This window comes from Homo sapiens, chromosome 2, assembly GCF_000001405.40.
Source record: "Homo sapiens chromosome 2, GRCh38.p14 Primary Assembly".
Taxonomy (NCBI): Eukaryota; Metazoa; Chordata; class Mammalia; order Primates; family Hominidae; genus Homo; species Homo sapiens.
The window spans coordinates 160,098,499-160,125,089 of NC_000002.12; the positions used below are offsets into that span (position 1 = coordinate 160,098,499).

The 26,591-nt window shown below is 39.6% G+C and overlaps 1 protein-coding gene across 7 annotated transcripts in view, besides 1 other annotated feature; it reads right to left on the bottom strand.

The window, feature by feature from the left end:
* ITGB6 (integrin subunit beta 6) overlaps window positions 1,173-26,591 on the bottom strand; it is a 100,602-nt gene continuing 75,183 nt past the window's right edge. For 6 of the 7 annotated variants that reach the window (NM_001282353.2, NM_001282354.2, NM_001282390.2 and 3 more), the window contains 4 exons: window positions 25,293-25,390; window positions 13,582-13,701; window positions 9,181-9,347; window positions 1,173-3,336 (listed from right to left, as the gene is read on the bottom strand). In NM_001282353.2, coding sequence (NP_001269282.1) covers window positions 3,238-3,336; window positions 9,181-9,347; window positions 13,582-13,701; window positions 25,293-25,390 — 484 coding nt within the window. In that variant the 3' untranslated portion in view covers window positions 1,173-3,237. The remainder of the gene's footprint in view (window positions 3,337-9,180; window positions 9,348-13,581; window positions 13,702-25,292; window positions 25,391-26,591) is intronic. The other variant, NM_001282355.2, reaches the window with a different exon arrangement.
* Window positions 14,098-14,167: an enhancer, noted in NCBI's record as "active region_16697". NCBI's record gives its function as "activates an Ori minimal core promoter by ATAC-STARR-seq in GM12878 lymphoblastoid cells {active_cell/tissue: GM12878}" and the evidence as "EXISTENCE:reporter gene assay evidence [ECO:0000049][PMID:35858748]".

The following is a 26,591-nucleotide window of genomic DNA, read 5'->3' on the forward strand; positions in this document are numbered from 1 at the left end:
AGCTGTTTCTCTATTTTCAGACATTTGGCCTTTAGTTTACAAGAGACAGTGTGTTTCAGAATATAAGTACTCTTGATTTGACTTTGCCTGTCTTCTTGTAAGAAATGGGCCTAAGAGAAAGATTAAATTGACTCCTTTTTCCAGCATTTGGTCTCTTTGTGCTTCATTTTCCTGATTTAGAAGATAAGCATGGCACCATGACACCGAACAAATGGATGTGCAGAAGAATAGACTCCCTGAGCGCGTGAGTGTGCTCAGGCTGCTGAGCAGAGCACCACAGACTAGGGGGCTTCCACAACAGGAATTTATTTTCCCTCAGTTCTGGGGGCCAGAAGTCCAGGGTGCAGGTGGCAACTGGGTTGGTTTCTTATGAGGCCTCTCTCCGTGGCTTGTAGTTGGCCACCCTCTCCCTGTATCTTCACATGGTTTTCCTTATGTCTGTGTCCTAATCTCCTCTTCTTATAAGGACACTAGTCATAGTGGACCAGGGCTCAACTCCATCGCCTTATTTTAATTATCTCTCTTTTTTTTTTTTTTTTTTTTTTTTGAGATGGAGTCTCACTCTGTCACCCAGGCTGGAGTGCAATGGCGTGGTCTCAGCCAACTGCAACCTCTGCTTCCTGGGTTCAAGTGATTCTCCTGCCTCAGCCTCCCAAGTAGCTGGGACTATAGGCGCCTGCCACCATACCTGTCTAATTTTTGTATTTTTAGTAGAGACGGGGTTTCACTATGTTGGCCATGCTGGTCTCGAACTCCTGACCTTGTGATCTGCCTGCATCAGCCTCCCAAAGTGTTGGGATTACAGGCATGAGCCATCGTGCCCGGCCTTTAATTATCTCTTTAAAGGCTCTATTTCTAAGCACAGTTATAGTCTCAGCTACTGGGGGTTAAGACTTCAATACATGAATTTTGGGGGGACAGGGGCTATTGGGGGTGGAAGGTGATACATTTCAGTTTATAGCACTAACTCTAAAGAACTTGACTTTACAAAATGGTGATGTCCAGGCCCGCTCCCTGCTGTCTCTTGCCTTCTGTGGCTGCCTCCTTTTGCTCTTCTCCTTGGCCCCAGACCAAGACCATCAAGGCAGTCAGAACAGGTCACAGAGGAATCCAGAAATCCAAGAAGAGGGTTTTGTGCCAAGCAAATAAAAGAAACTATCATCCATCTAAGGTTCATTGTTTAAATTACCATGTTTATTTATATCAACACAAAATACAATAATAAACACGACAAAACCATTTTATCTTCATGTAACATAACTCTTCAGTGAACAGAAGTACTACTGTTAATGTTTTGGCCTTTCCAAGGTCCTGCCTGGGGTCAAAACAGTATTCAGAGAAAGAGCAGATTCTTCTCTACCTTCCCTAAAACACACACAAAGGTAACTTCTATTTTCTAAAATCCCATTCCAATAATAATTAAAAAAACAACAGTAAGTCCACGTAGAGGAGAGGATTGCTGTTGTGTTATCAGCATTGCAACCTGTATATTGCTGTAGATTTCCCCCAGGTTCTGCGCATCAGTCAGGAACATAAAGGGTATATCAGCCCTTCGGATTTTCAAGGTGATTTTTCAGTAATTCTTTCACCTAGCCCTGTACTCTGTAAAGGTCTGATTTACCTGAGTTATCTAGAAACCAGCAAAAAAAGAGTCTCCAAGTGATCAAAGGTATATGGATCTATCTTGTAGAATTGAAGAAACTTATAGATTTTGCTGTGACAATTCAATGGACAACCACGAAGCCTCCACTACATAATGAACTATTCACCTAGTAAAAGCTTCACATTACAATTTAATCAAAGGTAATAAACATTGCACAAAAGTACAATATCTCATCTATATGCCAGCAGTTTAAATGCTATTTGTTCAGTCTCGAACATTTTCAAACAAATGACAGTTATCACTTAACTAACACAATCTTTCTATTATTTCACTGACAAAAGAGGCAGTTTCCTGCAGTGGAAAGAGGAGATGGCTTGGAGTTAGAAGAGCTAGATTCTGAACCCAGCTCTACTCATTCTGAGCCTTAGTTTCCTTATGAGGATCAAGTGAGACGAAAGTGCTTTGTAAAGGAGTAATAACCACAAGAAATAATATTCTAGAGTCCATCTCTTCCATCAACTGATGGATCCCTAATTTGCACATGTATTTTGCAAGTAAAATCTTACCTCTTAAAGTAAATATATGATGCATATTCACCACATGCAGCTGAAATGTGCAAGTTGGGTTACATAGATGGGAAAAGAGTATGTATTAAAAAGCCTTTAAGACTTGTATACTCTTGATGTGCTTGATTTAGAGCCATTTAAAATTTTATTGTGTTTAACACATGTTCCTTTTATATTATTGGATCGCTCTTTGAATAAACTAAGCATTTAAAGTAATTTTTTTTTAAAAAGAAACTTTGGTATGACAATTACAGGGTTTAAAAGACTGTGCAACTGAGTGAAATGGATTGAGAAATATGGGAGAAGTAACAGTTTGAAAACTCAGAGTCAAAAAGGAAACAGTGTAGAATATCGTTTTTCAGGTAATTTAAAAATAAGCTATATGATAGGGTTGTTATCTTTTTATTTTTATAGGTAACTTCTTAATTTATAAATTACTTATTCCTTATTTGTAAAACAAATAAAATATTTGTGTACTTAACGTTTAGGTGTGTATAAATTCACAAAAATTATTAACACTTAACTTTCAACCTTATATTTGAGATATCTTCAGAAGAATTGCAACCTTTTAGCTGAAATAAACTCAGAATCTCATTTCTCAGAGATTTAAAAAAAATTCTCCTTTAAGAGAGGGCATATTTCCTACAAGTTTAGAATTAATTGGCAAGTATAGACACACAATGTGAGTATATGGGCTTTGTGACTTTGCCGAGACAAAAAACTCAGGTAGCTGCATTCCTGAAACAAATGAGACTCTAATTTCAAACATTTTTCAAATGCAAATCAGGCCCCCATGAATCATTTGATGATTTTTTGAAGCATTAATGCAACAGAGTTAGTATTCCTCAAATGATCCCCAAAGTCATCTCTTTGCTAAGGATATTTCTCTTCTTGATTATTTTGAAACTGCCAACAGTCTGTCACCTTCATGTAGAGGATGACTTATCTGCAGATGTCCTATTATTATCTTAAACCAACCTCATTTTGAAGCAACAAAGAGAAAAAAATTAAATAGTGCATTAACATTTCATATCAGTGAAACAGACTTTTTTCATGCATAAAGTAGTTCTAGCAATCTGTGGAAAGGTCTACCTTTTGTTTTTCCCTGTGTTTATAAGTTACATTTTTAAAAGTACTTGTGGATCCTCTGTAGAGTGGATTGGTTCCCTGGAAAAAAAAAAAAGATTCAAGTGAAAGTATGTATATTTTGTTTTTATACTGTTTTAATACGTAGTGCAAATTGGAAGAGGAGAGTCAAGCTCAGTCTTGGAAACCATTAGAACAATTTTGATTAATTTGGCATTTCATATGTTTAGTGTTTTGCAATTTATACATTTTCATTTTGTTAAATATACAGAACAAGTCCCATATGTATATTCTAAAAATCTTACCTCTTTTGGTAATGCACAAATTTACGGATAGAAAACAAGGCTTCAGCTGTTGTGCTCACTGCTGTTTTCCCAGCACTGAGTCCCTGGCCCAAAGCAGGTACTCAGTATGTATGGAATGAGTGGCATGAACAGTGACAGATGAACCAAAAGTGAAATCAAAGCCAAAAAAGTAAAAAACAGGAAAAGTGAAACCAGTAGGAACATACAAAAATGAACGACACAGTATCTGCCTTTAACAAACGTGTTACTCATGAGAGGCATCAAAGAAGGGCACAAATAATCATGCTAAGATGAAATCAAAACTCAGAAGTGGGAGAAAGTAGTTGCTTGGGAGGAGTGAGGAACCATCCTCTGGACAGCTAACACTTGCCCTGGGTAGCCAAAGAACCAGCTGTCTTTTGCTTACTATGTACAACACTGTGTAAGACAACCACAAGAGACTGGTATGGAGGACCCTGGGGTCATGAAAGAGTTGCAGTCCAAAGGCAGGCCAGGAAAAATGGCTTTGCCTTGGGGGCAGTGGGAAGGTTGGGTGTGGGACTCTTGGGTAGCTCAGCTGTGCTGTTTGGGTTATAGATGTGCCTCCAGGTGCCAATAGCAGTGGTGCTGTAGCCAAAAGGACCAGAAGGTCCAGAAGGATCAAGCCTCTCTAGTTGTTCCAGGCCGGAGGAAGGTGTCTGGGTAAGGTACAGTTTCTTCTCTCCCACTTTCCAAGGCTGATCACACAGGCTATGGCAACAGTCTGGGTCCAAACCCAGCTCCACCACATGACCGTACTGAAGACACTCTGAGCCTTGGTGTCCCTATCTGTTCCTACCTCGTCCAGGTAAAGTATTTTAGCACTGTGTGTAGCACATAGCAAATGCTCCATAAATGCTGCCTCTTCTCATTAGTTCCTATTTATAGCTTTTCTTCACATTTGGAATTTCCTTTTCTTTTAGGTTTTAGAGAGGATTATTAAGATATTTTCCCCCAGGGCTTTGGTACACTTAACATTTCTAAGCCCATTACTGAGTATGTATGGAATCCAGGTACCGCCTCTGACCTTCTAAGTTAAAATCTTATACTTTGATCACCTCATTCCATGAATTATAGCTATGGTAGAAATTTCTAGGGGTGGATTTGAAAAAAAACCTTAATTGTCTTTGCTTGCTCAGTATATTTCTTTCAGCTCTTAAAAGAATTGAATAAAATCGGAAACACTCCCCGGTCTTTCCCACTCACTGGCCTCAGTGCCCTCATTGTGAGTGGGAATCACACCTGCACCCATTTCTATGTTGTCCAGAGCCAGTGGCCTGACCTCTGACTAAGTGACATGCTACTTTTGTTATGTGCCTTTAAAGAGATATGCTATTTCTATAATAAAGCCAAACAGAAAAATGTTCCTTGGCTGGTGGTGGATGATGGGTGAAAGCTAAGTTGGTATATTGCTTCTATTCCTGAGAGCAGCCTGGTTAATTCTGAGGGACCTCCAGATCTTATCTAGTCTTGCTGCTCTAAGAATTTGAGATTTTGAAGGCAAAGGGCAGACTGATGTGAATTTAGATGTAGATGGAGTCTCATTTGCAAACAAAAATCATGCATGGAATTCTATTAAATTTGAGACTAGAATCTAGTTGGTTACAGGAGAATGAGAGACTCCATTGAAGAAACAAGATGGAAAAAAGTAAGAGGTTCAGGCCAGCAATGACAGGGTAAGCCTGTCCTGGAGGAATTTCCCACTTCCTCCAGGAAGCTCCCACCTTTGTGAACAGAAAAGACACTTGGAAAGAGGACACAGGCTGTGAGCAGGGCCAGCTTAGAGCTCCGTAGGACCAGATACTTGTTTGTAGGTGCACCCTATATCATGTCAAACATACTACAATACACCCATATCCCACACTTAATATAACTGATATGCATTATAGAGGAGGTGACTTGAATTGCAGTTGACAAGATAACACAATGTTATTTAGTAGATATTTAGTTGAATGTTTAATTTTGATGGCAGAGTTTTCATTCCGTATTTTAAAGCAACTTCATTCATTCAGGTTTGCAATATTTTGGGAGTCCCTTGCAATACTGGTTTAGGGCCAAGACATTGCTTATAGGGAGTGATGGGTAAAGCAGACTTCACTAGAGTAAGAGGGTAAGGTGGAAGTGTAAAAGTGGACGAAGAGCAAGTACATATTGCTGTTGTGTGTAATAGGGTATTTCCTGGCCTCAGCTGAAGATCAGAGGTCAGGATAATGCACTCACATTGGGTTTTGTTCCAGGAGGAGGTGTGGAAATGTCCACACTGCCTCCTCTAGTGCTCTGCTGATTGTAACCTCTCTACACAGACTTTCCAGCTGAAATGCAGGCTTGAGTCCTACTCTATTTCGGGTGAGTGTGCAATCCACTGCTCAGAAAAGGTCAGTTTTCCCCTAACCATTTGGGGTTACCAGGCTGATTCCCCCAGGTGTCTGGGAGTGCTAATTTAGGCTGTGGATTCTGCAAATGCAATGACACATTTTTCAAGATTGAAAAAGTGGTAATAGGAAAACTCTGTCATGACCCACAGCTTCCTTAATGATCGCCCAACTGCCAAACACAGACCTGATTTGCTTAGCACAGTACAAAATCAATTCATGACTGCAAGAAATGTCAGGCTGAACATTTTTTTGCCTCAAGTTAATGACTTGTCATCCTAGAAAAAAAATTCTAATCAAAGATGAATTTAAATATGTTTCATTTGTGTTTTCATAAAGAATATGTGGGGGTGGGCATTATTTTTTAAAGCATAATAAAAAAGATAACCTTTCTTTACAGCTGCTCTGAAATGTTTTAGGAGGTAGGAGTGAAGACCTTTCTGTCTTAAGCCCTGTCACTTTATGAGTCCAGTGCAGTCCTATGGCCAGGAGGCCTGACTGTCCCTATTGTCTCTGGAGGGCACTGGGTTTCAAAGACCAGTCAAATTCACTTCTTCAAGAAGAAATAGGTTTTAGGGAAAAAACTCAGTTAAATTGAAGACCCCTAAATGTGTGCAGTGAGCGACATTTTTTTCCAGTAGGATGTTAGTGAAATTTAAACTGAATTATTTGAGTTAAACCTTTTTTGCATCCAAGTGAATAATTACTACCCAGTCATTATCTAGTCAGGAACATCAAACATTTGTTATTCAAAGAAACTCAATTTAATAAGGGAATAATATTTTCCATTTATGCTTTTTTTTCTGTTTAATGCATGTTCGGGTCGCATGTTAGATGAAGAAACAGCAAAAATTCAGCATTTGAATTTCAGTCATGTTCTACATCCTGAGGGAGAACAATTCATGTTTTTGGGGAAATTAACTGTTAATTAAAATGTTATTTTAAAGATATTAATCACTTGTCAGTATTTATGCCTCTGTATGAGAACATTGAAATGTGCTGGTTAGTAGATACACATCACATAATTGCCCAAGTGCGTGTTTGTGGAACACCTGCTTATTATTTCCAGGAGGGTCAACCAAAGGCTGTGCTTAGAAGAACAATGAACAATTAGGCTTCAGCTTAACCATGCACCAAAAGTTAGGGAAGTCCCTTAACTTCTCTGAGCCTTAGTTTAGCTCTTCAAAATGGAAATACCAGGATTATATCATGGGGCTTGCTGCTATTGTCCTTTGTGGCAACTTAACCATATTCTTTTACCTGGTTGCCCTTCTAACCATGGCAAGGCATTTGTTGGAGAGTTGATGAAAGTCAAAAATAACATCTGTGGCCAGGGGTCAGGTGAAGTGAACTGTCCTACAACTTTGGGCTCATTAGTACTGTGTTCTAAGTCACCAAGCTAACCTGTTTACCTTTTACATTGTTAGGGATGAGTAAATTATATCTTCTCCTGAGGAATTTTGCTTAATTATGGAAAATACACACATTCGCAAAAAGAGGAAAGCTATATAACCAACCTCCAAAGACCCATCGCTCAGATTCCACAGTTATCACAGTTCTGCCACACCTGCTTCAACTATCCCTCCATCCCACTCTCTTGGCTGAATTATTTCAAAGTGAACCCCAGCTTTCATTTCCTTTCACTCCTTCAGTATGCATCTCTAAAAAATATGGATATTTTCTAGCAATGTCACCATGCCATTATCATACCTAATCAAATTAACCATACTTATTTGCTATCATTCTAATACCCAGCATGTATTAATCTTTTTTCAGTCTTTTTATGTATTTATTTATTATTTATTTTGGAGACTGGGGCTCACTCTGTCACCTAGGCTGGAATGCAATGGCATGATCATGGCTCACTGCAGCCTTGACCTCCTGGCTCAAGTGATCCTCCTGCCTTAGCCTCCCAAGTAGCTGGGACTACAGGTGTGAACCACCATGCCTGGCTAATTTTTGTATTTCTTTTTGTAGGGATGGGTTTTGCCATGTTGCCCAACTCGAACTCCTGAGCTCAAGTGATCCAATCCTCCTGTCTTGGCCTCCCAAAGTTCTAAGATTACGGTGTGAGCCACCATGCCCAGCCTTTTTCCAGTTGTTTTAAAAATGTATTTTTACAGGTGGACTGTTCAAATCACGATCCAAACAAAATCCATACATTGCATTTGGCTGTTGTATCTAAATGCATTTTTAATGGGAAGATAAAGTAGATAAAAATTTTCAGTGTTCATTGTCCTGTACCATGTATTATCATTAATTTAGAATAACCGCATACAACAGAAACATCCCTTATCAAGATAAATTTATCAAAAATGGAAAATTCCATTTGCTTTAGGAGTTGAAGGCATTGCTATAAAAATTGTTAACATCAAATTATTTGGGCGGACAAATCCAAAGGAGCATTGCGTCTACCTGTATTTTCTCCAGTGATATCATTGTTGTTAGAATCAGCAATGTAAGATAATTGCTGTTAGATACCTGGACACACCATTAGAGATAGAGAGATGAAATTAAAACTATGGAATTGTTTCTATGGGTCTCTAGAAATGTAATTATCTCTCCTGTGGAAAAGAAACACAGAAAACTATAGTCCTGCCTTCTGATTGCCTCTTGTGAAGAGAAGGCAGTTAAATTATTTCTGTTGAGTTTATGTATTTAAAGGTTAATACTTTTGGGGTTTTTTTCAGGTCTCTGTTTAAAATTTATGTTATTCAGAAAAAATAACTGCATGGCATTTTAAAAATCATCTCAATTTTGCTTTGTAACCTATTATATCAGAAACAAGTATTTCCAAAGAAATTGGCATGAATTATCGTACTATTTATGAACACTATTCCATTCATTATAACATAACCAATTTATGGAAATGTTTAGATATAGCACCCGTGCTTTATCAAATGGGGCCTGAGGGATACTCCTAGTGGTGAGGAAGCGCTGGGTAAAAATATACTTCCCCAATGTCCCTAAGCAGCTGTCTCAGGAGCCTCATGAGACCCTTCATCGTGGTGGAAATCCCCACCGCACTAAGACAAATATAAGCTATGAGGGTCATCTGGACCTTTGCCCCTGAAGCAGAACAGAAATCAAAGCTGTTGGAGTCATGGCGAGAGTGGGAGAGAAAAAATGTGACATTTGAACTCCCAGAGCAGAAGAAAGCTGAGCCCCTCAATCTCTTCCACCAGCCTCTTTCTCCCCTAGACAAGGAGTAGCCCTAAGTTTCCACATACCGTTTGCCACTTGGCTTTTGATCGTTCTGCTTCAAATTTGGCAACTTCTTTACGATCATGAAATGACACCAGTAGCTTCCAGATGCACAGTAGGACAACCCCGATGAGAAGAATAGCCAGGGAAACCCCTAACATGATCATGGGAATGTTTGGAGGCTTCGGACAATCTGCAGAAATAAAGAAAATTATAAGAAGGTGGTAAAATCAACATTTTGACATCGGAAAGGCATTTCTTGTTGGATTTTCATCTACATTTTCTGCAGCAGAGGATAAATATTGACACCATTTTCGCCTTGCTTAAATTTTAAAAATGAGTTACTTGTTGAAGAATAGCCCTGCATTCCTCAAAGTAGAACAAAAGATAAAGGAAGAATTTAGATATTTGAAGTAAATGGATATAGACTTGATGGTTGACTCTAAAAGAGAATCCAAAAGAGTGATAATTAATGCACATGGAATATTTAAAGGATTAAGAAAAAGACTAGTTTAATCACTAAACATGGTCTCTTCTGAGTTCACGATAAAGCAGAAATGGAGTGTGTGTGTGTGTGTGTGTGTGTGTGTGTGTGTGTGTGTGCTGCATGTCATCAGTTTTTCATGGACCTTCTTGAATCATGGGGAGTCTAGAAGACTATATTAAAAGTTATATAAAAACCTATCCCTTGGAAAAAATTACTATTTCCTTCTTTCTTTATAGACAGAAGACAATGATGGGTTTCAGTTCTGTTTTGTTGAACCCTAATGCAGTAGTCTGGTTTTGGGGAAGTTCCTAGACTAGATTCAGGAGAGGTAGATTCAATTCCCATCTGATGTACAGTAGCTGTGTGAATGTGATCCAGTCCCTTGACCTCTCTGAGCCCCAGGCCCTTCCTCTGTAAAACAAAGTTCAGTGTTCCCTTACCTTTTCTGATGATACCAATAAGCTGAACTGTTCTTGCTTACTAACACAGCTTCCTGGACCCCTTCCCCAATATTCTGATTCAGTGGGTCTTGGATAAGCCACCGATTCTGTGTTATTAAATATTCTAAATTATTCTTATCCTCAAGCAAGTCTGGGAAATTAGATGTTCTGTAGGGTACTTTCAACTTGAATATTCTATGAAATGTTATTTTGACTGTATTGAAGATATTAATGTAATTTTGCAATTATACAGTACGTTTCCTAATTCACAGCAGAATGACTAATAGTCCTTGCAATATGCCTAGGAGATGATACATTTCTTAATGAAACATTATAATTATGTTCTCCTCTTACTTTCATGGAAAAAAAATCCCACATAAAATTATCATTAGATATCTGCATCTCTCTGCAAGAAATGAGGCAAAATCCATGGGATCTGGGGAGGAAATGAATGATGTTTAGTTTATCCTAAGTCTTACTGCTTTTAGATATTTAATAAGGAGAGTTATACACATATGACTAGTCATGCTGTCTTTAAGGTAAGGATCTGGAGTTGATGTGAATCTGAGTGGGGCTAATTACCCACTAACAGCATGATGCCTGGCCTCACACACTTTTGTTCTTTGGCCAAGAAACCATGTAAAGAGATTATGCAGAAATAAGTAAAGGAGCTAATGACATAGCTATTACTGTATGAAGATCTAAAGACTATATTCTCGCATAGCAAATGAACCATAGCTGCCTCTAATAGGTGAGCACATTCCTGCAAATAAAGCGGCAGGCCTGTGTCATGAGAATATATACTGGCTACATCTTTGGCTAAGAAATGCCTGGGGTGGGGCATAGTATGTTCCTGTTCAAAGCAAGATGAAGCTTGCTACAATCCTGCACCTAGACATGAATTAGGAGGGTTCTCCAGGAGGGACTAAAGAAGAAATGGGTGCGGTCTGGCAGAGATAATTATTTTAAGAACTGAAAGTCCTCAGGAATTGTACATTTCTCAATTAAAGATGTTGGCCCAAGTGCCAGAGCAGGTCTTACACAATAGAGATCATCACTTTTCATACTTGGATGTTTCTTGAGATGCTCAGACTGAAAATGGATTTCTACGTGGAAGAAGAGGGTCACCTCTATCACTGTGGGCAATGTGGCCCATCGAGTCCAGGTTGGTGCAGCACCTACTTCTAAGGTCCTGAGTATCTAACTGTGCTACATGCGTTGCACAATCTGGTAGCTCAATGTGCATATTGAGTGCTTGAAATGTGACTTTTCCCAAGTAGCTTATGCTGTAAGGGTGAAATACACACTGATTTTGAACACTTGGCATGAAAAAAATGTAAAATATCTCAGCTTTTATACTGATTACACGTTGAAATGACAATATTTTGGATAACATCGTAAATAAAATTCATTTTACCTGTTTCTTTTACTTTTTAATGTAATTACTAGAAAATTTTAAATTACATATAGGGTTTGCCTAACAGTTCTGTCGGATGATGCTGATCTAACATCTTTTTGTGATTCAGATAGTTATGATGATTGTACAGCCAGTAGGAGGCAGTAGAGCACAGTGGTTCAGAGCAGGGGCTCCAGGCCAGGCTGCCAGAGCTCCTCCAACTAGCTCTGGCACGTAATTACTGCCAGACCTAGAAAATTATTTAATGTCTCTATGCCTCAATTTCCTTACCTTTAAAATGAAAATAATAGTGGTACCTGTTTTATATGGTTGTTAAGAATATTAAGCGAATTAATACATGTAAAATATATAAAACAACATCTGGCAAATGGTATTAGGGCTCAAAAAATGAGAGCTGCTATTATAATAATTAATATTACTATTGTTACAGCAAATACAGCACTCTTTCCCCTTTTCTATCCTCATCACCTCAAGGGCCTGGAGCCTCCAAGTTGGAACCTGTGGGTATAGCATCTACCCTAGCTGGTACTTTCCAGCCAGGAAGCCTTCCCGCCTATCATTCCTTGACTCTGTTGTGGCTCTTATGCTCTGGAAGTCCCTCCGGACTGTGGGGGAAAGAAAGAAGATGAAAGAAGCCACCTGTGTCCACAAGCACCCTGGTGGCGACCCTTCACTCAGTTCTTTTTTTCAATTTGCTTAGAGGACCCTGGGGATCAGCCCCTTTCTCACTTCTCAGTTTGCCTCTTCTACCCAAGCCTCCACCAGGCCACCCTGGGATTTTCTAGTCTGAAAGCTGTGAGACGGGAGACAGGAGGGACCATGGACCTCTGGGGACAGGTTCTGCTCTGCTGGCCCCTGGAAGTGCCAGGCCTACCCAACCATGCGGACATTTGTTGAGGAAGAGGGAGCCTGGAGGCTGTCAGGTGACTCTTGTTAAGCCTCCGGGAGGTTATGTTTCCCCTCACTTTTCCCTACTACAAAAGCATGGGGATAATAACACGCCATAATAAAAAGCATCAGGGCATCTGTGCGTGCTCTGCAGAATGGCATGTTGTGGTGCCACTCTTATTGTGTGGAAGAATAAAAGAACAGACAACAGCTCAGTAATGAGGAGGCATTTAGCCAAGGCATGTTTCACTGAAAAAAAAAAAATCACCAACTAGATACAAAAGTCTCTGAATTAAAAGCAGGACTTATTCTGGAAATTCGTTTTTGTTTTTGAAACTCGTTTTTTTCAATAGAATCAATACTGTAAGGGATGGCTTTGATTTCAAGATAACTTGCTAAAGTCACTGCCACAGTCACAGAGGGTTGGGAGTGTAGTTGGAGAATTTTATTTTGTAAGACAGATAATGAGCAGGCAGGCTTTTTTGGTATTATAAAGTAATTTCTCCTTATACAGCAGGATTCTCCTTATGTTTCCCTAATGAACGGCCACAAGACTCATTTTATGTATGCATTTCAAAGGAGTTGATTTACATGAGATTTTTCCAGAGCAAGACTCCAGGGGCACTCGGCATACCTGAGCTTCAAGGCCAAGTTCACAATCATCTTCAGATTTCAGGAAGATGATGACTGCTGCAACTACAAGTCATCTTAGCTGTTTTTTTTTTTTTTTGGCAGAGTCTCACTCTGTGCAGTGGCGCGATCTCGGATCAACGCAACCTACACCTCCCAGGCTCAAGCAATTCTCCTGCCTCAGCCTCCCAAGTAGCTGGGATTATAGGTGCAGGCCACCATACCCGGCTAATTTTTGTATTTTTAGTAGAGACAGGGTTTCACCATGTTGGCCAGGGTGGTCTCCAACTCCTGACCTCAAGTGACCCACCCTCCTCGGCCTCCCAAAGTGCTGGGATTACAGGTGTGAGCCACCGTGCCCGACCCTTATCTGGTCTTAATAAGAGACACTGGAACATACTGAACCTTCTAACTGGCATCTTTCAATCCTTGGGAAACTTTAAGAAACTTCATCAAAATTTTGGAAATGTCTTTCCTGGCATGCTACCCAGAGCGATTTTCTGGTTGCTTTCTCTTCTCCTGTGTAGTATCATTTGCCATCGGCAATGGAAGGCAAAACACCCACCTTTTTCATTGATGCTGTGAATGATGGTTTTCCCCTCATTATCTGTAGTTATTAGGAATGTAATAAGACATTCATTTTCTCCTTGCAGAGAGCAGGAAACAGAACCATCCTTTGAGAAATCTGCAGATAAAGGAGTCATTCATTAGGTTAAACAAGATTCCAAAAGAGATTGTTTTTAAAACAAAGTAGTATTGAGTTTTAATATGTAAATTAGAGTTTTCAATATTGCAGAATGAGAATAGGAGAGGCATAGGTTTTTTTTTTTCTCATGAAGTGAGGTTTTCGTTTTCACTCACGTTCCAGAAGAACAGTTCCAGTTGTGGTCAATCAGGACTGACCATCAAATGTGCCTATCAAACGGATACGGGCAGGATTGCAACAGGCTGAACGTACTTCAAGGCAGGTACCCACAGCTGCCTTGGGAATAGAATGGCCCTGATTATGGTAATGAGGGGGCTATAGGTTCTTTGCTGAGAGCATGAAGGATGTCTAGATTACATTTCTGCACAGTTCAAACTGATACTGATACTTTTAAAGGGGCCTTTCTCACAACGACATAGTCAAGATTGCTGGCCATGTATTGTGGTAACAGTAACATAAATTAATATCAGGAAACTGAGACTGAAGCATTATGTAGCTCAGGGACCAGCAGGATAAAGGTAAATAAATCCACAGTGACAGTTTGTCTATCATTCAGTAGAGCTCCTTTCTTAATTTGAAAAAAAAAAAAAATCCAGTTTACCTTAAATCTTTTCCAAGTGGGAATTTTTCCTTATTGAGCTCATTCAAGAGGCAGAAAATGAATGTCATGACAGAAATTAAAAGTAAAGTAAAATGGCCAATCTGAGATGCCAGTACTATCTACCAGAAATTTTAGTAGTCCAGGATGTATGCCAAAATTATGTGGCATTCTGCTAATTAAGAAAACCAAACAAATTTGCTTAACTGTTCTCCTATCTTTTAAGTTGGAGACTTTTCAATGATGGTTACAAACACTGTTTTTCAGAAACCTGTAAGTAGAAGACGTTTTTCTCCTAATCTAAACTTTTAGGACATAGGTCCAAAATTAGTGTGTTATGCTACAATGGATCAGAACATTAAAACTGGGGCTGCCCCTGATAATCTTGGACATACTCCTACTAGACTTATAACCTCTCCCATTAGCTTAAAAATAAAAACATTAATAAAGCAGAATCTAATGTGTTTTCTGAATCTAACAAAAATTAAATAATAGTCTGTTTTTGGTCAAAAATGCCATAGCCATAGATAGAAATATTAAGTTGCTGTTTGCTGTCTTTACATTTTGTTTGAGATGAAAAACCCAACAGTGTCTGTGAGAAGTATGCTTTGTATTATCTATGAAAACAGGAACCAGCAAGACATTTAGCATTGTAAATAAAATTTCGGATGATAGATTTAAGTGTACAAACTGTTTTTGAACCCATTAGAAACATCTATTACATGGGAATATTAAGAAATCTAATTACAAATCATCCTAGTCTAGTCATTGCCAAATGATTATGGTCATCTAAGTCACCTGGGAGTTTTGAAAATGTAGATTCTGGGGACCCACCTTGGGTATTCTGATTTGAGAAGTTGGTTGTGTGCAGAGGAGCTTGTACACTTAGTGAGTTGTTTAATAAGTATTTTTAAAAAGGAGATTCTGATTAAGAGATTTGGTGAGATGTGTGTTATTTCATATATTTGATTGCAAATGGTATTGCATATATAATTCATACGTTGGCCATTTTATTTGGCCTTTACCACATCTCCTGTTCACTTGCCCCTCCAATTAGCTAGGGTTCATGAAGTCTTGGGGACTATGCGTTTTCTTCTTGGACTGTTTTCTTGCTTCTTTCCCCCTCTCTGTGGGAACAGCCCAGGCTCACTCTGCTCGCCTTGAACATATTTAATGAAACATTTTATTCTGTGGTAGGAAATATGTGAGTGGCTTATCATACTCCTTTCAGTAATATTAACCATGTTTTTAAAAATTTTCTTTCAAATAGCTGCACTGAAGCCTAGAGAGGCTTACTTGACCTGGTCAGGGTTATTTAAGTGTTAATGGAATGGCAGAATATGATCTTTGAGTCACAACTCCCATGTTGCTTTAATTACTTCACCACTCCTTTTCATGACTGTTACGGCTCTAGATGTAGCCTGTTTCATGGTGTTTGGGTATTGAAATAGTATTCTCAAATGTGCAACGACAGATTTGCATAATTCGCTGCATAATTTCTTCTGTTGTTCATAGAAAATGGATCTCTCTTTTTTCCCTTCCTTTGTGAATGTCTACAGTGCTGCTCTAGAATAATACAATGAAAATAAGATGCCAGGCAGTCCGTGGAACCATACTCAGAGAAGGAAGAAATGTGAAAACAGGGGTGAGGATGTGGGCCTGGGAAGGTCCAGGGAGGGTGTGAAAAATACAAAGCAGGGGGGTGGAGCCAAGATGGCCGAATAGGAACAGCTCCAGTCTACAGCACCCAGCGTGAGCAACGCAGAAGATGGGTGATTTCTGCATTTCCATCTGAGGTACCGGGTTCATCTCACTAGGGAGTGCCAGACAGTGGGTGCAGGTCAGTGGGTGCGCGCACCGTGCGCGAGCCAAAGCAGGGCGAGGCATTGCCTCACTCGGGAAGCACAAGGGGTCAGGGAGTTCCCTTTCCTAGTCAAAGAAAGGGGTGACAGACGGCACCTGGAAAATCGGGTCACTCCCACCCTAATACTGCTCTTTTCCAATGGGCTTAAAAAATGGCACACCAGATTATATCCTGCACTTGGCTCAGAGGGTCCTACGCCCACGGAGTCTCGCTGATTGCTAGCACAGCCGCCTTGTACACTGCTAGGCGGCAGCGAGGCTGGGGGAGGGGCACCTGCCATTGCCCAGGCTTGATTAGGTAAACAAAGCAGCTGGGAAGCTCAAACTGGGTGGAGCCCACCACAGCTCAAGGAGGCCTGCCTGCCTCTGTAGGCTCCACCTCTGGGGGCAGGGCACAGACAAACAAAAAGACAGCAGTAACCTCTGCAGACTTAAATGTCCCTGTCTGACAGCTTTGAAGAGAGTAGTGGTTCTCCCAGCACACAGCTGGAGATCTGAGAATGGGCAGACTGCCTCCTCAAGTGGGTCCCTGACCCCCGAACAGCCTAACTGGGAGGCACCCCCTAGTAGGGGCAGACTGACACCTCACACAGCCGGGTACTCCTCTGAGGCAAAACTTCCAGAGGAATATCAGGCAGCAGCATTTGCGGTTCACCAAGATCCACTGTTCTACAGCCACCACTGTTCTGCAGCCACCGCTGCTGATACCCAGGCAAACAGGGTCTGGAGTGGACCTCTAGCAAACTCCAACAGACCTGCAGCTGAGGGTCCTGTCTGTTAGAAGGAAAACTAACAAACAGAAAGGACATCCACACCAAAAACCCTTCTGTACATCAGCATCATCAAAGACCAAAAGTAGATAAAACCACAAAGATGGGGAAAAAACAGAGCAGAAAAACTGGAAACTCTAAAAAGCAGAGTGCCTCTCCTCCTCCAAAGGAATGCAGCTCCTCACCAGCAGTGGAACAAAGCTGGAGGGAGAATGACTTTGATGAATTGAGAGAAGAAGGCTCCAGACGATCAAACTACTCCGAGCTACAGGAGGAAATTCAAATCAATGGCAAAGAAGTTAAAAACTGTGAAAAAAAATTAGACGAATGGATAACTAGAATAATCAACGCAGAGAAGTCCTTAAAGGAGCTGATGGAGCTGAAAGCCAAGGCTCGAGAACTACGTGAAGAATGCAGAAGCCTCAGGAACTGATGCGATCAACTGGAAGAAAGGGCATCAGTGATGGAAGATGAAATGAATGAAATGAAGTGAGAAGGGAAGTTTAGAGAAAAAAGAATAAAAAGAAATGAACAAAGCCTCCAAGAAATATGGGACTATGTGAAAAGACCAAATCTACTTCTGATTGGTGTACCTGAAAGTGACGGGGAGAATGGAACCAAGTTGGAAAACACTCTGCAGGATATTATCCAGGAGAACTTCCCCAATCTAGCAAGGCAGGCCAACGTTCAGATTCAGGAAATACAGAGAACGCCACAAAGATACTCCTCGAGAAGAGCAACTCCAAGACACACAATTATCAGATTCACCAAAGTTGAAATTAAGGAAAAAATGCTAAGGGCAGCCAGAGAGAAAGGTTGGGTTACCCACAAAGGGAAGCCCATCAGACTAACAGCTGATCTCTTGGCAGAAACTCTACAAGCCAGAAGAGAGTGGGGGCCAATATTGAACATTCTTAAAGAAAAGAATTTTCAACCCAGAATTTCATATCCAGCCAAACTAAGCTTCATAAGTGAAGGAGAAATAAAATACTTTACAGACAAGCAAATGCTGAGAGATTTTTGTCACCACCAGGCCTACCCTAAAAGAGCTCCTGAAGGAAGCACTAAACATGGAAAGGAACAACTGGTACCAGCCACTGCAAAAACATGCCAAAATGTAAAGACCATCAAGGCTAGGAAGAAACTGCATCAACTAACGAGCAAAATAACCAGCTAACATCATAATGACAGGACCAAATTCACACATAACAATATTAACTTTAAATGTAAATGGGCTAAATGCTCCAATTAAAAGACACAGACTGGCAAATTGGATGAAGACTCAAGACCCATCAGTGTGCTGTATTCAGGAAACCCATCTCACGGGCAGAGACACACATAGGCTCAAAATAAAGGGATGGAGGAAGATCTACCAAGCAAATGGAAAACAAAAAAAGGCAGGGGTTGCAATCCTAGTCTCTGATAAAACAGACTTTAAACCAACAAAGATCAAAAGAGACAAAGAAGGCCATTACATAATGGTAAAGGGATCAATTCAACAAGAAGAGCTAACTATCCTAAATATATATTCACCCAATACAGGAGCACCCAGATTCATAAAGCAAGTCCTTAGTGACCCACAAAGAGACTTAGACTCCCACACAATAATAATGGGAGACTTTAACACCCCACTGTCAACATTAGACAGATCAACGAGACAGAAAGTTAACAAGGATACCCAGGAATTGAACCCAGCTCTGCACCAAGCGGACCTAATAGACATCTACAGAACTCTCCACCCCAAATCAACAGAATATACATTTTTTTCAGCACCACACCACACCTATTCCAAAAGTAACCACATAGTTGGAAGTAAAGCACTCCTCAGCAAATGTAAAAGAACAGAAATTATAACAAACTGTCTCTCAGACCACAGTGCAATCAAACTAGGACTCAGGATTAAGAAACTCACTCAAAACTGCTCAACTACATGGAAACTGAACAACCTGCTCCTGAATGACTACTGGGTACATAACGAAATGAAGGCAGAAATAAAGATGTTCTTTGAAACCAGCGAGAACAAAGAAACAACATACCAGAATCTCTGGGACACATTCAAAGCAGTGTGCAGAGTGAAATTTATAGCACTAAATGCCCACAAGAGAAAGCAGGAAAGATCCAAAACTGACACCCTAACATCACAATTAAAAGAACTAGAAAAGCAAGAGCAAACACATTCAAAAGCTAGCAGAAGGCAAGAAATTACTAAAATCAGAGCAGAACTGAAGGAAATAGAGACACAAAAAACCCTTCAAAAAATTAATGAATCCAGGAGCTGGTTTTTTGAAAAGATCAACAAAATCAATAGACCGCTAGCAAGACTAATAAAGAAGAAAAGAGAGAAGAATCAGATAGATGCAATAAAACATGATAAAGGGGCTATCACCACCGATCCCACAGAAATACAAACTACCATCAGAGAATACTACAAACACCTCTATGCAAATAAACTGGAAAATCTAGAAGAAATGGATAAATTCCTTGACACATACATCCTCCCAAGACTAAACCAGGAAGAAGTTGAATCTCTGAATAGACCAATACAGGCTCTGAAATTGTGGCAATAATCAATAGCTTACCAACCAAAAAAAGTCCAGGACCAGATGGATTCACAGCCGAATTCTACCAGAGGTACAAGGAGGAGCTGGTACCACTCCTTCTGAAACTATTCCAATCAATAGAAAAAGGGGGAATCCTCCCTAACTCATTTTATGAGGCCAGCATCATCCTGATACCAAAGCCTGGCAGAGAAACAACAAAAAAAGAGAATTTTAAACAAATATCCTTGACGAACATTGATGGAAAAATCCTCAATAAAATACTGGCAAACCGAATCCAGCAGCACATCAAAAAGCTTATCCACCATGATCAAGTGGGCTTCATCCCTGGGATGCAAGGCTGATTCAACATATGCAAATCAATAAATGTAATCCAGCATATAAACGGAACCAAAGACAAAAACCACATGATTATCTCAATAGATGCAGAAAAGGCCTTTGACAAAATTCAACAGTGCTTCATGCTAAAAACTCTCAATAAATTAGGTATTGATGGGACGTATCTCAAAATAATAAGAGCTATTTATGACAAACACACAGCCAATATCATACTGAATGGGCAAAAACTGGAAGCATTCCCTTTGAAAACAGGCACAAGACAGGGATGCCCTGTCTCACCACTCCTGTTAAACATAGTGTTGGAAGTTCTGGCCAGGGCAATTAGGCAGGAGAAGGAAATAAAGGGTATTCAATTAGGAAAAGAGGAAGTCAAATTGTCCCTGTTTGCAGATGATGTGATTGTATATCTAGAAAACCCCATCATCTCAGCCCAAAATCTCCTTAAGCTGATAAGCAACTTCAGCAAAATCTCAGAATACAAAATCAATGTACAAAAATCACAAGCATTCTTATACACCAATAATAGACAAACAGAGAACCAAATCATGAGTGAACTCCCATTCACAATTGCTTCAAAGAGAATAAAATACCTAGGAATCCAACTTACAAGGGATGTGAAGGATCTCTTCAAGGAGAACTACAAACCACTGCTCAATGAAATAAAAGAGGATACAAACAAATGGAAGAACATTCCATGCTCATGGGTAGGAAGAATCAATATCGTGAAAATGGCCATACTGTCCAAGGTAATTTATAGATTCAGTGCCATCCCCCTCAAGCTACCAATGACTTTCTTCACAGAATTGGAAAAAACTACTTTAAAGTTCATATGGAACCAAAAAAGAGCCCGCGTCACCAAGTCAATCCTAAGCCAAAAGAACAAAGCTAGAGGCATCATGCTACCTGACTTCAAACTATACTACAAGGCTACAGTAACCAAAACAGCATGGTACTGGTACCAAAACAGAGATATAGATCAATGGGATAGAACAGAGCCCTCAGAAATAATGCCGCATATCTACAACTATCTGATCTTTGACAAACCTGAGAAAAACAAGCAATGGGGAAAGGATTCCCTGTTTAATAAATGGTGATGGGAAAACTGGCTAGCCATATGTAGAAAGCTGAAACTGGATCCCTTCCTTACACCTTATACAAAAATTAATTCAAGATGGATTAAAGACTTACATGTTAGACCTAAAACCATAAAAACCCTAGAAGAAAACCTAGGCAATACCATTCAGGACATAGGCATGGGCAAGGACTTCATGTCTAAAACACCAAAAGCAATGGCAACAAAAGTCAAAATTAACAAATGGGATCTAATTAAACTAAAGGGCTTCTGCACAGCAAAAGAAACCACCATCAGAATGAACAGGCAACCTACAGAATGGGAGAAAATTTTCGCAACCTACTCATCTGACAAAGGGCTAATATCCAGAATCTACAATGAACTCAAACAAATTTACAAGAAAAAAACAAACAACCCCATCAAAAAGTGGGCCAAGGATATGAACAGACACTTGTCAAAAGAAGACATTTATGCAGCCAAAAGACACATGAAAAAATGCTCATCATCACGGGCCATCAGAGAAATGCAAATCAAAACCACAATGAGATACCATCTCACACCAGTTAGAATGGCAATCATTAAAAAGTCAGGAAACAACAGGTGCTAGAGAGGATGTGGAGAAATAGGAACACTTTTACACTGTTGGTGGGACTGTAAACTAGTTCAACCATTGTGGAAGTCAGTGTGGCGATTCCTCAGGGATCTAGAACTAGAAATACTATTTGACCCAGCCATCCCATTACTGGATATATACCCAAAGGATTAGAAACCATGTTGCTATAAAGACACATGCACACGTATGTTTATTGTGGCACTATTTACAATAGCAAAGACTTGGAACCAACCCAAATGTCCAACAATGATAGACTGGATTAAGAAAATGTGGCACATATACACCATGGAATACTATGCAGCCATAAAAAATGATGAGTTCATGTCCTTTGTAGGGACATGGATGAAATTGGAAACCATCATTCTCAGTAAACTATCGCAAGAACAAAAAACCAAACACCGCATATTCTCACTCATAGGTGGGAATTGAACAATGAGATCACTTGGACACAGGAAGGGGAATATCACACTCTGGGGACTGTGGTGGGGTCGGGGGAGGGGGAAGGGATAGCATTGGGAGATATACCTAATGCTAGATGACACGTTAGTGGGTGCAGCGCACCAGCATGGCACATGTATACATATGTAACAAACCTGCACAATGTGCACATGTACCCTAAAACTTAGAGTATAATTAAAAAAAAAAAAAAAAAAAAAAGAAAATGTGGCACACATACACCATGGAATACTATGCAGCCGTAAAAAATGAAGAGTTCATGTCCTTTGTAGGGACATGGATGAAACTGGAAACCATCATTCTCAGCAAACTATCGCAAGGACAGAAAACCAAACACCACATGTTCTCACTCATAGGTGGGAATTGAACAATGAGAACACATGGACACAGGAAGGGGAACATCACACTTCAGGGACCGTTGTGGGATGGGGGAGGGGGGAGGGATAGCATTAGGAGATATACCTAATGCTAAATGACGAGTTAATGGGTGCAGCACACCAACATGGCACATGTATACATATGTAACAAACCTGCACATTGTGCACATGTACCCTAAAACTTAAAGTATAATGATAATAAAATTTAAAAAAAAGAAAAAGAAAAATACAAAGCATCTGCACCACTGAGTCAAGATGGCCATATGTTTAAGACCTCAGCTCTAGGATTAGTTAGCAGTTTTCAAAAAAACAAAAACGAAAACAAACAAACAACAATGTTTCCCAAGGAAAAAGTAAGGGGTTTATGGTCAGATAAGTTTGGGAATCCTCTATTTATTCCAATTCCTCCCCTTGCCATTCCTGATGATTCACAATGCACATTTAATTTAAATGTATAACAACTCTCAGAAGTCCTGCAAAGAAAACAAGAAACCTAGTTTCCTATTTCTAAGATTTACATTACCAGGGGCGCCTTTTTCTATGTAATGTTTTCATATCTAGGGTTACATGGAATATACTTTGAGAAACAATTCTCTGAGTACATGTATGTTAAGGTAAATAAAAATATGACTCTCAAGCTGGGCACTGTGGTGCATGCCTGTAATCCCAGCAATTTGGGAGGCTGAGGCGGGCAGATGCCTTGAGCTCAGAGTTCGAGGCCAGCCTGGCCAACATGGCAAAACCCCATTTCTACAAAAACTACAAAAAATTACACTGTGTAGGGTGGCATGTGCCTGTAGTCCCAGGTACTCATGAGGCTGAGCCTGGAAGGTCTAGAATGCAGTGAGCCTTGATCACGCCACTACACTCCAGCCGGGGAGACAGGGTAAGGCCTTGTCTCAAAAAAAAAGAAAAAAAAAAAGACTCTCAGTAAAATGGGATGAATAAGGTTAATAACATGTTTTTGATATGCCCACTCACAGCATAACTGAGGAACAATTCATACAGATTATAAAGTTATGCTTTTTTTTTTTACTCCTGGGGAGTAAAATACTCCCCAGGAGTAAAATAAAATTCCTCTTGTTGGGGGAAGGGTAGGTTGTTAAAAGACAAATATTATGCGATCATTTCAAGGTAGTATGATCAGTAACATAACTGGATGAGTAACTTGAAATAAAGCTTATAAAAAGGCTCATTAGAAAAGTGGCTTTTAAACACAGTCTGAATTAAAAACATTTTTTTCTCTCAAATTCATCCAGATTAGTGCTTTAAATGGTATTAGTAATCCAATTTTTATTTTCAATTGCTGAGTTACAAATAATTGTATCTCCCTATTTTGAAATAATTTAGTCAAATACACAAAAAGAATAATGTAAGTATTTTAAATGCCACTGGAGCCCTAGTCTTCCTCTCCAATCTCAGCATTTATGATAATCTACTCAAAAAAACCTGTGTACTTAAATATAGTAAGTACCTTGTTCATGCCATTATGATTTGCATGTATGTAAGGTTTACTCCTTTTTTTCCTCAACACATTAGATTTCCCATGTTGCTAGTGAATTGAGGCTTAGCAATTTGCAGAGCATTTTCTGCAATTTTTACGCGTTTCTCAGAAACACTTGGTAACTATCCCCAGTGCTTGCTGTGAAATGAGCCCAGAAGGTGATGCTAGGACTTTGCACCAGGTACTAATGTGGGAAGTCCACAGAGGCTGTCTGCTCAGTGCTTTCATGTATCTCGCCTTTGGTAGTAATGTAAGGCGCACACCATTTTGTCCAATTTACTGCTATTTGGCATGTTTATCTTTGGTCACAAGAAAAGCATTGGTGAGGGGTTTTATGAGCACATATCATGACCCTCCATATAGGGTAATCCAATTGTGCATAGTTAGAACTCTAAATTTTCAGACAATGTAAGTAGTCTTCAAAACAATATAAAGTTCATTAACTCAATCCATGCTGGAAATGGATTAATTTCCGTATTCTAATTCCATCTATTCAAGAGACACATCCTGGAGGGTCATACATTATTGGCTTAATTATTTCACTTCACCTGAGCTACATCTTGGCCACATCTCTAATGTGTGCAGAGTAGCAATTCTACCCTGAGCTGCATGATAATGCAGCGAGTTCAGGATGATACCAAATTAAATTCTCCCAGGTTGTCTCTGTTGGAAGAGTCAGTCATCATCTTTGTTTTAAAGTCCACAAATTATTGTTTAAAAGGTATTGCCAGTTAAAAAACAAGCTATTTAAATATTTGAGGTGAAACTTTGCCACTAGACTCTGATTCTAAGTAATTAAATTTAAAATGACAGATGAAAGCAAGAGAAGTTTGCTTAGCCGTTAAAGAGAATAGGTCTTTCTTGTATTTTGGGGGTGAGGCAACAGGGAATTGAGGATGGTCATTGTAATGCCCATGTTTGGAAGGTTGGGAATAAAAGTATATGGAGGAGAGGAAAAATGGCCACTAACCAGAAACCACCCAGTATCTTGGAGCCACCATCTGGAACACTGTTTTACAGTTGGCTTTATCTTATCTTGAAATAAAGCAATTGGATGATAAAGGGTGAATTCAGGTTTGGGGGTTAACATTTAGCCATTTCTTCAATTTTTCTCCATTTCTAGTTTGAAAAATATAGCATTCTGGAATTCTCTACAGTTGAATTTGTTAAGCAGAGGTGAACTTGGCAACAGAGCTGAAGTCAAATAGAATAGCTATGACTTTGAAATGCTAGTGTCCTGAGACATCAAGTTTCTAGTCTTATAGGATGCATTTACTCTTAAAAAATGAATGTGAGTGAGCTAATGCCCTGGTACAAATAAGGTCAAGCTACTAAATAGCCCTCGATTCACAGAGGGTCAAGAACTACGCCTCTCAAGAACTACATAAGGAAATGAAAAACAATTTAAGACAAGCAGAACCTTCTTCTTCACTGATGGTCGCACCAGCTAGTTTGCACTTGTCCACACATTCTTCTCGGGCTTGGCCAGCTGCTGACAGGTGGCACTCAATGCAGCTCCTGTGGACAGTATCCAACAGTGTATCAGTTCATGCTGGTGGAAAATAGATTTGCAGCTTGAATATTGCTTTACTGCTGTTGTTGCAATTTGTGCTATAGGAGTATGTCATAGATGTCATTATCTTTTGTTACTTTCAAAAGGATAGTAGGGTAATGTCCAAGTGAACACTGAATTATTCTGAGTTCCACTCAGTAATCAATGTTCCCTGGGCCAGTCTTGATAATAGCTACTATTTTCATTTACCTGTAATGATTGCTCCTGATTGGTTAAGTAAACAAACAAATAATCAAAGAAAATAAATTGATTTAGCTGTTTTCATTTACTTTTTCCTACAGAGAGCGTATGTTCCTAAAATATGATTAGAGACTGGGAGAAGTTTTGAATTTCTTGACAGAAATGGTCTATACCTTAACCAGAATTCCAAGAATGATTAGTGGACTTTGTATATGTCTTATATGATTATTTTCACAATTCACTTTTCTGTAACTCTTTTGAATAAGTCTAAGTCTTAATGAAGGTGTGGATTAGAGCCTGGATCTCAAAAGCTGTGGATTAGAGCATGGATCCTCATTAATACAGGCTTTTAAATAAAAGATCACTATTTATAGAAAAGTACATTTCCAAGAACATCATCCAAGAATTAAGGTACTCTAAAGACATCTATAGAGCAAAGTAAAATTTAGACCCTGAATTAATCTTGTGCTGAAAATCACTTTACAAATAGATTGTGCTTGTTGTAATTCAAAAACTGCAAAAGTTTTCTTACTGTGGACACACATGCTGTCTCTGTCTCCTCTGGCCATGGAAATGTATGCTCTGCTAAGTGCTTGAAACACCCCACCCGCACCCATAACTCAGCAAATCTCAGCTGAGACTGCACTTCCTTAGGCAAACCTTCACTAAACCTTAGACCAATCAGTTCCTTTGCAGTGGAAGCCTCAGGATTTTTCCACAGGAAGGGCAACCTATCAGGCAGTGGGGAAGGTTTTACTGTGAAGTTGCCTTGGCATTGCAAATACATTGCATTTTTCTAGATTGTATATTTATTTGGAGTGGTTTTGAAGGGGTCTGGTGATTGTGGAAGCTCTTAATATCTCTTTGTCTTTGTGCATCTCAATGATGGCTGCCCTAGCTAGTCTGGTAGCCTTATCCCCTGCTGTAGAGTTCCATAGCACTCTCTATTTCCCCTATTAAAACTGT